Consider the following 17638-nt stretch of genomic DNA (forward strand, 5'->3'; position numbering starts at 1 on the left):
TGCAGAAGACCGGTGTGAACTAGAGTAAGGGGTCATCTGCCTAAACATTTTCATCAGGATTAGGGATTCTGCTTAATTTCCCACCTGCTTTCCACTACTTCTCCATCAGAGCTACTTTTTATATAACTTTTTCCTTGCCTGCTGGAACAAAGCCATGCCCAACAGGTGTGATGGTCCCAGGGGTTGGGGACTCTGTCGGTTAAGACTCACTGTTGGAAGGAAAGGCCTCAAAATGAATGGATCAAGAATAATTATGCAGGAAATAGGAGATCTGGAAAGACACAGGGAATCTTCAAGAATTGGGCACCAGCTTTCAAGTGTAGAGCCAGGAGCCTAGGACCAGGATGAAACATCACATGCAGCAGAACTCTGAGTAATATAGCAGAAGTCAAGGCAATAGCCTGTAATAACTTTCCTGCTCAGTACTCACTTCCATGAGCTGCCTTGAGTGTGTGCTGTGGGTGAATTGGTAATGTCATACAGATAATTTATAGCACTCCTTGCCACTATCCTCTGAAAAGATGGGGGAACTGTGTAGGAACCTTCCCTACCTAAAAGATGGGGTAGCTATATGGGAACTCATAGTTTAGCAAAACATCCCCACGGGTAAGGCCCCTACCAAGCCAGTAGCCAAGGATGGATGAGAGAGTTCAGGAGGGGTTCTACATTCTTAGCAAGAAAGCTTGCTCATAACAGGCAAGCTTAGCTCTAAAAGCAGCCACCTAGACGACTAAGTATGAGTTTCTATAATATAAGAAGCCTGACTGGAAAAGCATACAAGTATTTCTCATAGCAAAAGGAGCCCAGCAATTCTTCCACCATGCACTCAGTGTCCTGGGTTTGGTTGCTTCAAATAGGCCTGGATGCAGCAATAAAGGAGCCTGTTGCTGGGCTAGAAGGCAGAAGATTGTAGAATTATACGAATGGACATATTTGGTTCCAAAGGGCAATCAGTAGAAAAGCTTTCAGCAGAAATGGATTGACAAATATGTACAGGGCAATGGCTCCAGTGTGGTCCTGGTGACCTTGGGCATCTCCACATCGGCCATGAAGGCAAGCCTTCGGAGTTGACATGAGGCTTGGTAGAGCATCCTGTGATCCTACTAGAGCACTACTATGGGAGGCTGGGGAGGAGCTGCTCCCAGACCATTCCTGATTCATGAGACTGTCTCTCATTGCCTCCCTTGTTCTGATGAAGTTTGAGGCTCTCTGCCTCTACCCCCTGCCCCACTCCATTCCCAACCCCCACCTTTAGGGAACAGTCGTAGCCTATAAAACACTTAGCTGCAGTGTGGAATAAGGCCCTCAGCAACAGGGCGCCAATGACTCTCTGATGTTTTGGTGTCATCCTGTGAGACCAGAAAGGTCGCTAGTCTTTGCTACTCTGGCTTTTTTTTTTTTCTGTCTATGTAAGCAATAAACTATCTGAACCTAAAATGTTTCATTGTTTCTTTACCTGTTGCGGGAAGTCAGGGACCCCAAATGGAGGGACTGGCTGGAGCTGCGGCAGAGGAACATAAATTGTGAAGATTTCATTTTAATATGGACATTTATCAGTTCCCAAATAATACTTTTATAATTTCTTATGGCTGTCTTTAATCTCTTAATCCTGTTACCTTTGCAACCTGAGGATGTACGTCACCTCAGGACCACTGTGATAATTGTGTTAACTGTATAAATTGATTGTAAAACATGTGTGTTTGAACAATATGACATCAGTGCACCTTGAAAAAGAACAGAATAACAGCGATTTTTAGGGAACAAGGGAAGACAACCATAAGGTCTGACTGCCTGCGGGGTCGGGCAAAAAGAGCCATATTTTTCTTCTTGCAGAGAGCCTATAAGTGGACGTGCAAGTAGGGAAGGTATCACTAAATTCTTTTCCTAGCAAGGAATATTAATATTAATACCCTTGGAAAGGAATGCATTCCTGGGGGGAGGTCTATAAATGGCTGCTTTGGGAGTGTCTGTCTTATGCGGTTGAGATAAGGACTGAGATATGCCCTGGTTTCCTGCAGTACCCTCAGGCTTATTAGGGTGGGGAAAAACTCCTCCCTGGTAAATTTGTGGTCAGACCGGTTCTCTGCTCTTGAATCCTGTTTTCTGTTTAAGATGTTTATCAAGACAATAAGTGCACCACTGAACATAGACCCTTATCAGTAGTTCTCCTTTTTGTCCTTTGAAGCCTATGATCTACTCCCTGTTCTTACACCCCCTCCCCTTTTGAAATCCTTAATAAAAAACTTGCTGGTTTGAGGCTCAGGTGGGCATCACAGTCCTACTGATATGTGATGTCACCCCCAGCGGCCCAGGTGTAAAATTCCTCTCTTTGTACTCTTTCTCTTTATTTCTCAGCTGGCTGAGACTTTTGGAAAATAGAACAACCTACGTTGAAATACTGGGGGCAGGTTTCCCCAATATTTACCAGCTAATCTATCAGCATTGCCTTGACAATATTCTGAGGGGATAATGAGGTTGCCTCTCCATTTAAGTGGTCGCCCTGATGCCTGCTGTAGTTGGGTGTAAGGCATGGATTACTAACTCCCTGAAATGCCAGAGGACATATTTCCGATTCTAGAAACCTAGAGGCTCTAGGTTATCCAGGTACTTGCAGCCTTCAATGAGGAGATAGAATGGTGCTTCTCACTGAGCTACAGATCTTTGAAGAAGAAAATGATATGCTCAGGGCTTTCAACTCTCAGCTCAAGCAGGTACAGAGAGTCAGTATTCTCTGGTAGACTTAAGAGAAGTACTTATTCTTATGTGTCCATATGACAGACAGAGCTGAAATTTAGTTGTAAAATCTAATCCAGTTGCAGAATTACAACCAAGCTGGTAGCACAGAAGTGGTAAGTTTCCTGTATTAAGGAAAAGGCACTTACTAATATTTGAAAGAAGTTGGGCATGGAGACTTGGAATGGGGCTGCTAGATAGACTTAGATTAATATGGGACCTTGAACTCCCAAATGCCCTTGAGTTTTCCTTCCCACGAGAATGAGACCTTTCCTCGTGTCTGAGAAGGTTATCCTTCCCTTATTTAAAGAATCTGTGATCATGTCACTTGTGGAGGTTGTTGAAACACCCACGCTCCTCAGGGCCCATCCTCATTACCTCTCATTGCCTTCAGGCCTATGACTCATAACCAGCATAGCCCAGGGACAATTACAAGGCCTCCAGTAGAAGAAAATGACTTGGGCACCAAAATCATTGCAATAATTTGTATTGGCAGAACCCCAAGGAACATGAAGATTTAAAGGGTATCAGAACAAGGATGAAATATGACTGGATCAAGCTGAACTTGCCAATATGGGAACACTTTTACAAGATTCAGAATTTAATGTTCTAGCTTTCACAGCTGGAATGGCTTTACTAGTTGGCTTTGTTCATTGACTGAAACTTGGTTTTAATGGTGACCTACATTCAATGAGGTCAGAATGTCAGAACTTCTGCAGCTTAGTGTGAAGGGATCCAAATGCTTAGAGAGATGGGGGTAAAGAAGTAGGTGTTGTTATGTAGAAGCCACCCATATTGACTATTTCCTTTTGGACTCAAAAGACACTCAACAAGGAATTGAGCATCAGCATCCTTGAAGCCTCTGTCACAGCATCCTCTGCAAGAGAGGATGAAAGGTGAGCCTTCCATTGACTTAATAGACTCCCTGACCTGATTTCCATAGGAATGAGAGAATCCCAGTGTGACTGAGGCCAGATAGCAACACTAAACCCTCAAGATCAAGGGCAGCAGTTACCATAATAATTACCCTAATAGGCTGTAGGATCAGGGTGGTGATATGTTTTGTACAGCAGAGAATTAACAGCCATGGCTAAGTTATCAAGTGTTTCCTGTGGATAAAATAGATGGTACCTGTAACTAGAAAAATTCTGCAGCCAGTGAGAAAAATATGACTGAGTTATCTAATGGGAAGTCCTCACTTCTCACCAGTTCTAAAACTGAAGGTCTTTAATTGAAAAGGAGGTGTCATAACATGGGAAAGAGCCTACATCATGGCCACAGTTATATCCTATAATTTTCTATCAAGTCTTCCCCTCTGGAATCAACATCATTCTAGAGGTTCTAGCCAGTGTAATATGACAGGTAAAAGAAACAAAATGCAACTGGTCAAAAAGGAAGGTATAAAAACATCTTTAGTTTTCTAGTTTATTCACAGATGATGTGGTGGCCTACATAGAACATCCCAAAGAATTCTGATTACTCAAAATGGTGCATCTATAAACAAACATTGTGCAGGCACACATAAAATATTATTCAATGGTAAAAAGAATCAAGCTGTTAAGCCATGAAAAAACATGGAGGAAAGTTAAATGCATATTGCTAATTAAAAGAAGCCAGCCTGAAAGTAATACATACTGTATTATTCCAATTATATGGCTGTATCAGTCAGGGTTCTCCAGAGAAACAGAATAAACAGGATGGATGGATATGTATGGATATGTGTGTGTGTGTGTAAATGTACATGTATGAGAAAGAGAGAGAGAGAGAGACAAAGACAGACCAAGAGAGACAGATATTTATTATAATGAATTGGCTCATGCAATCGTGGATGCTAAGTGCCAAGATTTGCAGTTGACAAACTAGAGAAACAGGAGAATTGATGGTGTAAGTTCCAGTCCAAGAGCTGGCAAGATCTGAAAACAAAAAAAGCTGAGGTTTCATTTTGAGCTGAAAAGACAAATTTGATATACCAGTCCAGAAGTCAGGCAGGAGTTACCTCTTTCCGTACCTTTTTGTTCTTATTCAAGTCTTCACTTGATAGGATAAGGAGTACACACATTAGGGAAGCATTATGTATTACTCAGTCTATCAATTCAAATTTTATTCTCATCTGGAAACACCCTCACAGATACAACAAAATAACGTTTGTCCAAATGTCTGGGCACCCAGTGATCCAGTCAAGTTGACACATAAAATGAACCATCACAGGTCCACTGTTGTCAACTTGACACCCATACACATCTTCCTAAATCGTACTTAATCTCCAAATAAAGACAATAACAAGGTCATAATTCTGCCTGACATAGTACAATTATCCTGCATTCAACTAAAATCACACTAACCTCTTCCCCAGAAGAGGAGGTTAAGTCCTTGAGTGATGTTTACTTTTCTCCTTGATATCTCATATGATGCATAATTAATAATGCTTAAATACTATGATATAAAGTCAATACAATTTATGTTACATGATAACAGAATAAGAAAGAAAAAGAAAACCAAGCTATTTGTTATATACACATACAGAGAAACATATTTATAATAAAATAAGGAAATACTCATGACAATTTCAGTCTTTGTTCCTGTAACTGGTCATATAGTCACAGCTGGCTTTTGTAAACACCTTCTTCTACTAACTGTTCTGTATTCCCTTTGCTTTCAGCAAGCACCTCAGCTGGTTTTGGTTCTTTGCCTGGCGGGATAATATAAACGTTCTTTTCTGAAGGGTCTGGGCCATTAGTAGACCTGCCTAGATTGGGTTGTTGTCATTTTCCATTGATCCTAATCTTGGGGCATGGTAATACTATGAGATGTCCTAACAGATCTCCTGTATTCCAGACATGCTCTTCCTTAACCTCTGTAGTAGAGGAGTCTGATTTCCCCTTAGCATTCAAGATCAATTACCCCAGCCAGCACAGTATCTCCCTTCTTTGCCTGCTGATTCAGAGACACCAGAAGCCCAAAGTGGTGGGGCAGCTCTCTTAACTTCCAGTTCGGTGGATTCATTGTTATGACTCCTGGTGGAAGCATACTCCTTTTGGAGCTAAGATCTCTGGGCTAGCAAAGAATAAGGTCATGAGAACAAGAAGGAAAAATTTTGCTGGTGAGTTGTGAGGGATAATAGTGAGTGCCACCACTCCCATTTCCACTGTTTGATTCTTGGACCCATGAATTCCAGCTGTGGAAGAAATAGCACCATATATTGGCCATGAATTCAGAGCATATAAAGCCTTCTGAGGAACCTTCCCCCAGCCCCATGACATGTTGCCGCCTAGCTGGTGTTGTAATTGAGTCTTCAAAATGCCATTCTATCACTATATCAAGCCAGCTTCTTCAGGGTGGGGGGGAACATTGTAAGACCAGTGAATTTCATAAGCATGGTCCCATTTCTGCACTTCATTTGCTGTAAAGTGAATTTCCTAATCAAAAGCAATGCTGTGTGGAATATCATCATTGTGGGTAAGGCATTGTGTAAGAACACAGATGGTAGTTTTGGCAGAAGCACTGCGTGCAGGAAAAACAAATCCATATCCATAGTAATTATCTATTCCAGTAAGAGCAAAATTCTGTCCCTTACATGATGGAATGTAAGCAACCTGCCACCAGGTAGCTGCTGATCATCCTGAAGGATGGTGCTATATAAGGAACTCAGTATTGGTCCTTACTGCTGGAAGGTTGGGCACTCAGCAGTGGCCATAGCAAGGTCAGTCTTGGTGAGCGGAAGTCCATGTCACCAAGCCCATGCATCCCCTCCATCCCTGCCACCATGGCCAGTTTGTTCATGAGCCCATTGGGTGATGACAAGAGTGGTTGGGGAAAGAGGCTGACTGGCATCCACAGAATGGGTTATCATACCCATTTGATTATTAAAATTCCCCCCTGCTGAGGTTACCCTATGGTGAGTGTTCATATAAAACACAAATATCTTCCTTGTCAATTCAGAGAGTTCTATCCATACCACTGTTCCCAAATTTTCTTTTCCTCAATTTTTCAATCATCTTCTTCCTAAGTCCTTAACCATACAGCCAAACAATTGGCTGTAGCCCATTAATTGATATATAATTGCACATCTGGCCACTTCTCCTTCCAAGCAAAGTGATAGACCAGTCCAGTGCTCATAGTTCTGCCCACTGGGAGGACTGCCCTTCACCATTGTTCTTTAAGAGTTCTCCAGAAAGGGGCTTTCAGATGAAGAACCGTCTGTAAACCAGGCTGTAGTCTTCTCTTCCTCTATCAACTGAGTGTAGAAAATTCCCCATGAGGCTATAGGTGTTGGCTAGGAAACAGAAGATGGTGAAATAAGAGAGGGACTATGAGCATTTGGACCACTTCTTCATGCAACTTACTTATGCCTTCAGAGGCTTCTCAGGTCTGGTGTTGTGTATAACACTTCCATTTGATGACTGATTCTGTGAACATTCAATTTTATGGCTTGGTGGCTCAGATAACACTCAATTCATGATGGGCAGCTCAGGTCTTAGGGTAACTTGGTGGCCGGTGGTTAAGCATTTAATCTCTACAAAGGCCCAGTAGCAGGGAAAGAACTATTTCTCAAAAGGAGAAGAGTTATCCATGGAGGATGGCAAGGTTTTGCTCTAAATCCTAAGGTCCTGTGCTGTGATTCACCTCTAGAGGTTGCCAAAGGCTCCACACAGCATCCCTATCTGCCACTGACACTTCAAGCAGCATTGGATCTGCTGGATCATAAGGCCCAAATGGCACAGCAACTTGCATGGCAGCCTGGACTTTTTGCAGAGCTTTCTCTTGTTCTGGGCCTTTTTCAGTGACTTGGTAAATGGGCTGCCGTAACCCACCCAAATGAGGACTACATTACCTCCAAAATCCAAAATGGCCTACCAGGTGTTGTGTCTCTTTCTTGGTTGTAAGAGGGGCCAGATGCAACAACTTGTCTTTCACTTTAGAGGAGATATTGTCACATGTTCCACACCACTGAACTCCTAGAAATTTCGCTGAGGTAGAAGGCCCCTGAACTTTTGTCAGATGCATTTCCCAACCTCTGACACACAAATGTCATAGAGTCATTGGTGCTTCTCTCTCACTAGGTCCAATCAGCATAATGTCATCAATGTAATGGACCAGTGTGACTCATCTTGTGGAAGGGAAAGACAATCAGGATCCCTGTGAACTATGACATAGGGCTAAAGAGTTGATAGACCCCTGAGATAAAACAGTAAAGGTATATTGCTAGCCTTGCCTGCTGAAAGCAAACTATTAGAACTCTAGCTCCCATAGCTCCAACATTAAATGCAGAATCTCTGTGTAGTGAGCCCATATCAATATATTAGGCCTGGTCAAACCTTAAGTTCCTTCAACCATTATCTCACACTCTTTTTTTTTAATTTTCTTTTATTATTATTATACTTTAAGTTTTAGGGTACATGTGCACAATGTGCAGGTTAGTTACATATGTATACATGTGCCATGCTGGTGTGCTGCACCCATTAATTCATCATTTAGCATTAGGTATATCTCCTAAAGCTATCCCTCCCCCTCCCCCCACCCCACAACAGTCCCCAGAGTGTGATGTTCCCCTTCCTGTGTCCATGTGTTCTCATTGTTCAATTCCCAACCATGAGTGAGAATATACAGTGTTTGTTTTTTTGTTCTTACAATAGTTTACTGAGAGTGATGATTTCCAATTTCATCCATGTCCCTACAAAGGACATGAACTCATCATTTTTTATGGCTGCATAGTATTCCATGGTGTATATGTGCCACATTTTCTTAATCCAGTCTATCATTGTTGGACATTTGGGTTGGCTCCAAGTCTTTGCTATTGTGAATAGTGCTGCAAAAAACATACGCGTGCATGTGTCTTTATAGCAGCATGATTTATAGTCCTTTGGGTATATACCCAGTAATGGGATGGCTGGGTCAAATGGTATTTCTAGTTCTAGATCGCTGAGGAATCGCCACACTGACTTCCACAATGGTTGAACTAGTTTACAGTCCCACCAACAGTGTAAAAGTGTTCCTATTTCTCACATCCTCTCCAGCACCTGTTGTTTCCTGACTTTTTAATGATTGCCATTCTAACTGGTGTGAGATGGTATCTCATTGTGGTTTTGATTTGCATTTCTCTGATAGCCAGTGATGGTGAGCATTTTTTCATGTGTTTTTTGGCTGCATAAATGTCTTCTTTTGAGAAGTGTCTGTTCATGTCCTTCACCCACTTTTTGATGGGGTTGTTTGTTTATTTCTTGTAAATTTGTTTGAGTTCATTGTAGATTCTAGATATTAGCCCTTTGTCAGATGAGTAGGTTGCGAAAATTTTCTCCCATTTTGTAGGTTGCCTGTTCACTCTGATGGTAGTTTCTTTTGCTGTGCAGAAGCTCTTTAGTTTAATTAGATCCCATTTGTCAATTTTGTCTTTTGTTGCCATTGCTTTTGGTGTTTTAGACATGAAGTCCTTGCCCATGCCTATGTCCTGAATGGTAATGCCTAGGTTTTCTTCTAGGGTTTTTATGGTTTTAAGTCTAATGTTTAAGTCTTTAATCCATCTTGAATTGATTTTTGTATAAGGTGTAAGGAAGGAATCCAGTTTCAGCTTTCTACATATGGCTAGCCAGTTTTCCCAGCACCATTTATTAAATAGGGAATCCTTTCCCCATTTCTTGTTTTTCTCAGGTTTGTCAAAGATCAGATAGTTGTAGATATGTGGCGTTATTTCTGAGGGCTCTGTTCTGTTCCATTGATCTATATCTCTGTTTTGGTACCAGTACCATGCTGTTTTGGTTACTGTAGCCTTGTAGTATAGTTTGAAGTCAGGTAGCGTGATGCCTCCAGCTTTGTTCTTTTGGCTTAGGATTGACTTGGTGATGCAGGCTCTTTTTTGGTTCCATATGAACTTTAAAGTAGTTTTTTCCAATTCTGTGAAGAAAGTCATTGGTAGCTTGATGGGGATGGCACTGAATCTATAAATTACCTTGGGCAGTATGGCCATTTTCACAATATTGATTCTTCCTACTAATATTCTTTCCTGTACATATTTTTTTGGATTTCTGTCTGTATAAATTAGAAAATTCAAGGGTTTTGTTGTTGTTGTTGTTTTGTTTTGTTTTGATTTTAATGTAGCATGCCTATGCTACAAAGTGTGCATACTTTGTTCCCACCTTCAGGGGCTTGCTGGAACTTGAGTCTAGTTAGAAGTCTAGGAGCAAAGAGGGGTGGTGGGGGTGGTTCCTGAGGGGACTCAGTCTTGTATGGCAATTGCCTCAGGGGAGGTCATTAAAGTTTCCTCAGGCAAAGCAGTGTTAAGCCTCTCAGATGGGAGTGGAAAAGCTGCTCCCACTAGGTGGGGGGGGTCTCCTTCACGGGCAAAAAAAAAACTCATCTGAACTTAGAGGCTCAATGTCAATGTCTCCAGCCTTATCAGGGTCCTCCTACACATCCCCATTCCAACTTTCAGAGCCCTATTCCTTCCCAATCAATACCTTTGCTTTAACAGTGGACATCTACAAGACTGGGAGTTCAACTTGCATTGTATTAAATAATTCAGCCCACCACAATATGAGGTTCTAGGTTTAATTTTCAGCAATATCGGCCCTGCAACTACAGGAGATAAGGGTCTCCTTTAGGGCACACACAGAAGCTTTTAGATCATTTTTCTGGGAATTCAAATACCTGATCTGATCTCTTTCTTTTCCCACCTTGTCCAATGACATTAGAAGCAACCAGCTAATCTCATTATTTTTGTTAGTTTGCCAAAAAGTTTCCAGTGTATCATATTCTTGGTCATCAGTATCCTTGCTTTATATAAGTAGTTGATTAGGAGTATGCTATAGTGATATTTTGTGTATCCATATTTCCAGATCTTACCATGGACAGTCAATGTTCTCTTTACTACTGTAAAAAAAAAGTTATTTACAGCTTTAGAAAACTCATCCTTAAAATTCTGTTTCTCTAGAATCACTCTCAGGACAAATATCTGTATTATCCAGGATGCATGGGTATGTAGACATTAGATTAGATTAGATTTGTTGTAAGGAACTGAGTCATGTGATTATGGAGGCTGAGGAGTCCCAAGATCTGCATTAGGTAAACTGGAGACCCAGGAGAGCCAGTGGTGTAGTTCCAATCCTAGTCCAAAGACCTGAGAAGACTGATGTCTCAGCTCAACAGTCAGGCAGAAGGAGTCTTTTTCTCACACATCCTGTTGTTCTACTTAGGATTCATTGATTGGATGAGGCCCACAATAGGGAGGGCAATCTGCTTTACTGTCTAGAGATTCAAAAGATAATCTCGACTGGGTGTGGTGGCTCACGCTTGTAATCCCAGCACTTTGGGAGGCTGAGGCAGGTGGATCATGACGTCAGGAGTTCAAGACCGGCCTAGCCAAGATGGTCAAACTCCGTCTCTACTAAAACTACAAAAATTAACCAGCTACAGTGGCAGGCGCCTGTAATCCCAGCTACTTGGGAGGCTGAGGCAGGAGAATCACTTGAACCCTGGCAGCAGAGGTGGCAGTGAGCTGAGATTGCACTACTGCACTCCAGCCTGGGTGACAGAGTGAGACTCCATTCCCCCACCACCCAAAAAATAAAAAAGAAGATAATCTCATCCTGAAACACCCTCACAGACACACCCAGAATAATGTTGGACTAAATGTCTGGGAACCCTGTGGTCCAGTTAAGTTGACACATGACATTAACCATCATGATGGACATTATAGAAAAGGCAAAACTATCAACACAGTAAAATGATCAGTAATTACCAAGGGAGGAGAAGGAGGAGGAGGAAAGAATGAATAAGTGAAGCACAGGGAATGTTTAGGGCAGTAATACTATTTTGTATAATACAGTAGTGGTGGTTTTACGGTATGATGCATTTGTAAAAATCCATAAATTTTACAGCATAAAAAGTGAGTTTTAATGTACATAAATTTTTAAAAAGTATTTAGGAGGTTGAGAAATCTCAGAAAGAAATGCCGACAGACCAAAAAAATCTAAATGCATTGCTAATGTATGAAACAACCTCACTGAAGGTGGTAGGTCAAAAGGTGCTGACCTAAGTAACTTTGGAAATGAGTAGAGTACATAAGACTAAAGGTAAAAGGAACCTTATATAAGACTGTACTCTACTTCAAGGGTCCCCAGACCCCAGGCCCTGGACCAGTAATGGTCCATGGCCTGTTAGGAACCGGGGTTCACAGCAGAAGGTGAGCAGCAGGTGAGCAAGTGAAGTTTCATCTGTATTTACAGCTGCTCTCCATTGCACACATTTCCGCCTAAGCTCTGCCTCCAGTCAGATCAGCAGTGCATTAGATTCTTATAGAAACAGGAACCCTACCACGAACTGTCCATGCAAGGGTTCTAGGTTGTGCACTCTATGAGAATCTAATGCCTGATTATCTGTCACTTTCTCCCCAAGATGGGACCGTTAGTTGCAGGAAAACAAGCTCAGGCCTTCCATTAATTCCACATTATGGTGTGTTGTATAATTATTTCATTACATATTACACTGTAACAATAATAAAAATACATGTGATGCACTTGAATCATCCTGAAATGATCCCCTCTCCCCTGGTTCGTGGAAAAGTTATCTTGCATGAAACTGGTCCCAGGTGCCAAAAAGGTTGGGGACCACTGCTCTAGTTGATAAAGTTGTTTCCCAAGAAACACAGGTTAACAATTCTAATACTGCTATACATGTATATTAAAACTGAACAATTAAGTAAATGGATGGCAAATGGCAGGAACAAGATATCTCACTGTTGGAGTGGGAATGCACAGTTAAGCAAGGAAGAGAGACAACAGTGATGCCCGTGGTAACAGACTAGAGTTGGAGACATCAATATGAACACATGTTATCTTAGTATAGATATTTACATATGGAACTATTTATTGATAGGTATACTTACATAGATTAGCATGCACGCATATATGTCCTTGCTGTGTCAGCTGAGAGGACCTAAAAGAAATGACACCCAGGGTAGCAATCAGCACGCCTAGTACTCAGATCTTAGTGTAGAATACTAAGTGAAAGGTACTCTAGTGAAAGGTACTAAGACTCCTTAGAGAAATGGATGATTCCAGGACTGGCAAGAAATTATACAAGACAAGCCTGGAGCATCTTGTAGTGCCAGAAATAAGAAAATGCTCAAAAATAAGGAAGAATCATATTGATGGGAATATGTCAAAAGAGCACAGGAGTCAACCTAAAGAATTCCCAATGCCCAGAACCAGAGCAATTAGAGCAAAGAAATGAAGCAGTGTGGTGTATACCCAAAGTAGGAAATAAATATCCCTAGAATGTTTTTTCTCTCTAACACAGACTCTCTAATGCACACAAACACACACACATACACACACACACACAGTTACCTCACAGTTATCTCACCTGGACTTTGAATGGGATAATATCAAGGAAAAAGGGCAGGTCAGCACTGTGTCAGAGAGCAGAAGTGCATATCCACCCGAGTCTGGCAGCATGAAGAGATAGTCTCTGGGCCTTTCTTAGGAAATAGGAAAACGTTCTTATGCCCTGTTAAATGTTGGAAAATACACACAACAGACTAACTTTTCTTTTAAGCCAAAGGACAGGGACATGTAGTTATGTGAGATGATGGCTCCATTCCTGTCAACTGAGGCAAACAGAACTCACTGTCTTCAGCTTGGAAAAACTCATCAAGGGGTTGCATGACGTCGCCAGCATCCTGAGGTTGTTGACTTTTCTTTCTTTCTACTTATCAGTGTGGTAGAAGTGGATGCAGAGGGAGAGCAGGACAAGTGGGACTCTTTTGATTATCATTAGCGACCCTCGAGCCTTGCTGATCAGAAAGAAGACTGTCCTCAGAGATGGTTCCCACATGGCACCTGATATACAATCAAAGCCTAGTCAATATTTGTTTATCGAAAACGGAGAATAGCAAGGGGTATAAAAAATTAGTTTAAATGGTACAATTTATACTCAGGTCTGACTTTGCATATCTGGCTCATTTGAGGGACTAGGTCACCAAGATTACCACCCTCATTTGCTGAAATCCTTCAGTGGCTTCAAAAAATGCCAATTTCCCACCAAAGGAACCCAGCTCCTGATAATTGCATCCCTGCCTTCCTCAGCCTCATCTCCAAACACTCCCTAGCTGGCTCCTCCATTCCAGCCATCCCCAGCTGCTTGCTGCTGCAGGACCTGGTGGCTATGGTTTGCTTGAGGATTGTGCTACCTCAGGCCCTAGAACTTGCACACGGTGCTCCTCCTGGCTGGATCCTGCTCCCTCTTCTGCTTCCTGCCCTAATTTATTCCTAAAGACCCTGCTCAAATCCATACCCTCTAGCAGGTGCCCTGAATCTGTAGGTCCTTTTCGTTCTCCTTCACCAGACTGAGACTTCAGTGGAGAAATGAGTTTCTGAGTCACCTTGCAAGTAGGTGCTCAATGAATGCCAGCTGAATGCTGCATTTGTGAAATATAGCCTTGGAGGAGGAAAATGTGATTCTGGCAACAAGGAAAAGTCATGCATTATTTGATCAAAGGGTGGAGCTGTACATGACTTACTGGTTTTAAAAGGGAAAAATACACACACATAAACATAAGTAAAAGTTGCTAAGGCATTGAATTTCTATTTTTAAATATCATATGGAGTCAAGTATGAATTCCATCACCATCGTATTAAAGGAATTGTATCTCTTGCAGACTATGCATATCATGCAAGTTTGAATTTAATGAGTGTGTAATTGTAGCCGTCTGAGAAGGTGAGACAATGTGAATGAATCAGCAGGGCACGGGTAGTTTGGTCGTGAAATACAAGTACAGCCTTGGCAGGGCTGTGTCACATTTTTCCAGGCAGATGGTCTGTTCTCTTCTGGCTTTGCTTGGTATGACTGGTTCTGTCCTTGCTGCTCATAAACCTACATGCCCCTCTGCCCCCTGCCCCAAGACAGAGCCTGCTTTGTGTTCTACGCACCTGGTGAACACTCCATCCCAGCTCTGATCAGTCATCTCTCTCCATCTTCCCCAGTAGACTGAGCTCCATGGGGCATGGCTCAGTGCCTGGCAACATGTGCTTTTTGAATGAATGAAATGAATAAATGAGTGGAAAAAAGGGAAAGAAAAATGAATGAATTAGTTCTAGATCACCTTTTTGCAAGACTCCCTTGATATGCATCCCAAATTCTTCTTTCCACTTATGCCATTCAGGCTTTGGAATCCTGAAATTCTCCCCATAGTAACAGGCTTGGGGGTGAGGAGCACAGAGGCTGAAGGGTGCATTCTGGAATCACCCACCGGAGGTTTGACTCCCTGCTCCATCCCTTCTTGCCAGCTGGGTAATCTTGACTGAGTACCTAGACCTTCTTATACTCAGTTTTCCCATATGTCAAACTGGGATATTGATAAGACTTACCTCATGAGGCCATGGTTCCCAAGCTGTGTGCCAAGGCACCCCAAGATGCCACAACAAACTCACAAGGGCACCAATGCACATTTTAAATCTCCAGGAGGAAACATGGAGATGTCTATCAGATACTGCATGAAGCTTTGACATAATCATGATGTCTATTGCAATACTGCAACTCTTGGGTTGGTTGGACCTAACTACTGAAAACTGGTATTTCTTTTGACCTGGGGCCACAGGGAAAATTTCCTGAGATCCTAAGGGCACTGTAACCAGAGAAAAGTTGGGTCTCCAAGTCATAGGGTTGTCATGAGAATTTAGTGGGGAAGTACAGAACAAGCTTGCTACTTGTTAAGTGATCCACAGATGTTAGCTATAATCATTATTTCCCTGTCCTCTGGATAAGTTTCATCATGGAATTCTGTTTATCTAAATCACCATTTAAATTACCAGCAAACCAAAAATTAAGCAACACAATTCTGAATAATAGCTCAAATTCCTTTATTTTTCCCCAAATTACAAATTGACTGGGATGATTAAATAGTTCAAGAAAAAAAAAATCTACGTGGGACTAGGCAGAATTCCTTAGGGGTGTTCCTTCTAGGAAATGAAACCCACAGACATCACCGAAGTTCTCACTGGGCACAAACCACTAGAAGAGAGTAAACAATCCTTGAGCCTACTACACTGGAAACTCACACCAAAAATAGCCTCCCTTGAATGAAAGGTAATCTTTGGGAATATACTGTCTTAAATAGTCATTTCAACAGCTCATTGATTGTTACAATCAAATGTCAAGTACTAGTACTCTGCTTCTCAAGAACTAAATGTACTGGAAACAATTTATTCTGTTATCCTAATTTAGTTTTTTTTTAATGGATAGATATCTTGTTTATTTGTTTCCAAGGTATCCACCATTACACTTATTATTTTTTTAAAGCAAGTCAGCCATGACTTGGTTCAGGATGAATAATGTATAAATGTTATGTGTTTAAGCAGAGGTTGCCATGTCATTTTTACAAAAAGATTCCCAGGAATCACTAAGGCCAGAAAATAGCTCTTAGTTCTAAGGTCCAAACACCAAGCAAGATGTGTAGGCTTTTTTCTCCCAAAGAAATTTCAAACCAATTGCATTCTTGAGTCCATTTTTTTAATGGAAAGATTAGCCCATATATGAAGTTATCATAAAGTGCTGAATGTTGTCAAAGCCCCTGACAATCCCAGATGGAGTGGGGGAAGCTGGCCACTCACATTTGCGGTGTGCTGGTGAGTCACTTTGGTATTTGTCTGTTGTGTCTCTTTTGTTAACAATGCAGGGATGTCTTTTCCTCCCACATCCAAAACTATTCATTAGACCAGGAGCACCAGAAAGTATAAGAATAAAATTCTTAGATTTAGTTTAAATCTAAATTGGCCTTAAATGTCGGTTTATGTTTCTAAATGTCCAAACAAAAAACCCAGCAGGTTCTTGTATGATAAAATATAATACTGAGTAGACTGCACACAAAGGAGTTCAGAATGTTTTTCCATCTGAAAAAACCTCTCTACCCATCCTTGTGAATTTTAAGAGGTAAGCATGTAACCCACTAGGAAAGACGCCCATACAGTCACAAATGGATAGTGAGGGTTCCAGCATTCTGTGATCCTCAATTTTAGTTCTAGAGCCAGTTTGTAGCCTCTGAAAAACCTTTAGAAATCATGCCCATCGTTCATGGATCTTGAATATCTTCATTTTGTAGCTTGTGTCACTAGGATGTGAGAATTTTGTGGGTGAGTTTTCCATCCTCCTTGTGCACTGCTCTGTCCCTCTTGTCTTAAGTGAGTGTTCCGTACACAGTAGTTAAGTCTATCAATCAACGTTCAAGTGTTATTGTTAGTTATAAACAGCTTTTTAAGGTCATTCATTCAGTCCCATGTGCACTGTCTTCATTAATCTTCATAAGACGAGAAAGGGAGTATGATCACCATTTTACAAAGACAAGGCTAAGATTGGAGAAGGCAAGTGATGGCCCCTGGTCACTCAGCTAACAAGCCCAAAGCCTAGGCATGGAGCCTCCATGTGACAGGTGCTTTGCTGACATGAACCAAACCATTCCCACTGGACCACACGTCTCCAAGCACCTTTGGTTTTCCCCATTTGTTTGGATCTAGAGCTTGCAAGAAGCTGTGACCAGAGGCAGAGTAAGTGGGAGTAAGACTAAGGTGAGGGATTGGAGAGGCAGCCTTGCCCCGCGTGACCAGGAATCAGGACACAACTCCACCAACAACCTTGTGTAACCTGTTTCTTTTTTGGAAAATGGCAGGATCAGGCCAGATTGTGAGGGGTTCCCCAGGGGTTTGGTCTTGCCATCTCCTTACAAGGCTGGTGCCCTTCCAAGATGTCCACTTAGAGGCTGAGGAATGAGGCACAGGAGGGTCTTCTGGCAAACACTCTGAATGCCCAGTGGACACGTGGGGATGGCAGTGACCCACTTCCACCGTCTCCCTCCCAGCCCAGGCTAGATTCACTTCTGAGCAGCCAACTGCCCTCCTTTCCCAGACCGGCTGGTACCTCC

General features: G+C 41.9%; 1 long non-coding RNA gene across 2 annotated transcripts in view; it reads left to right on the top strand.

Moving 5' to 3' along the window:
- LOC105373953 (uncharacterized) overlaps positions 1-17638 on the top strand; it is a 44371-nt gene that overhangs the window by 25743 nt on the left and 990 nt on the right. The window lies entirely within an intron of this gene.

This window comes from Homo sapiens, chromosome 2, assembly GCF_000001405.40.
Source record: "Homo sapiens chromosome 2, GRCh38.p14 Primary Assembly".
Taxonomy (NCBI): domain Eukaryota; kingdom Metazoa; phylum Chordata; class Mammalia; order Primates; family Hominidae; genus Homo; species Homo sapiens.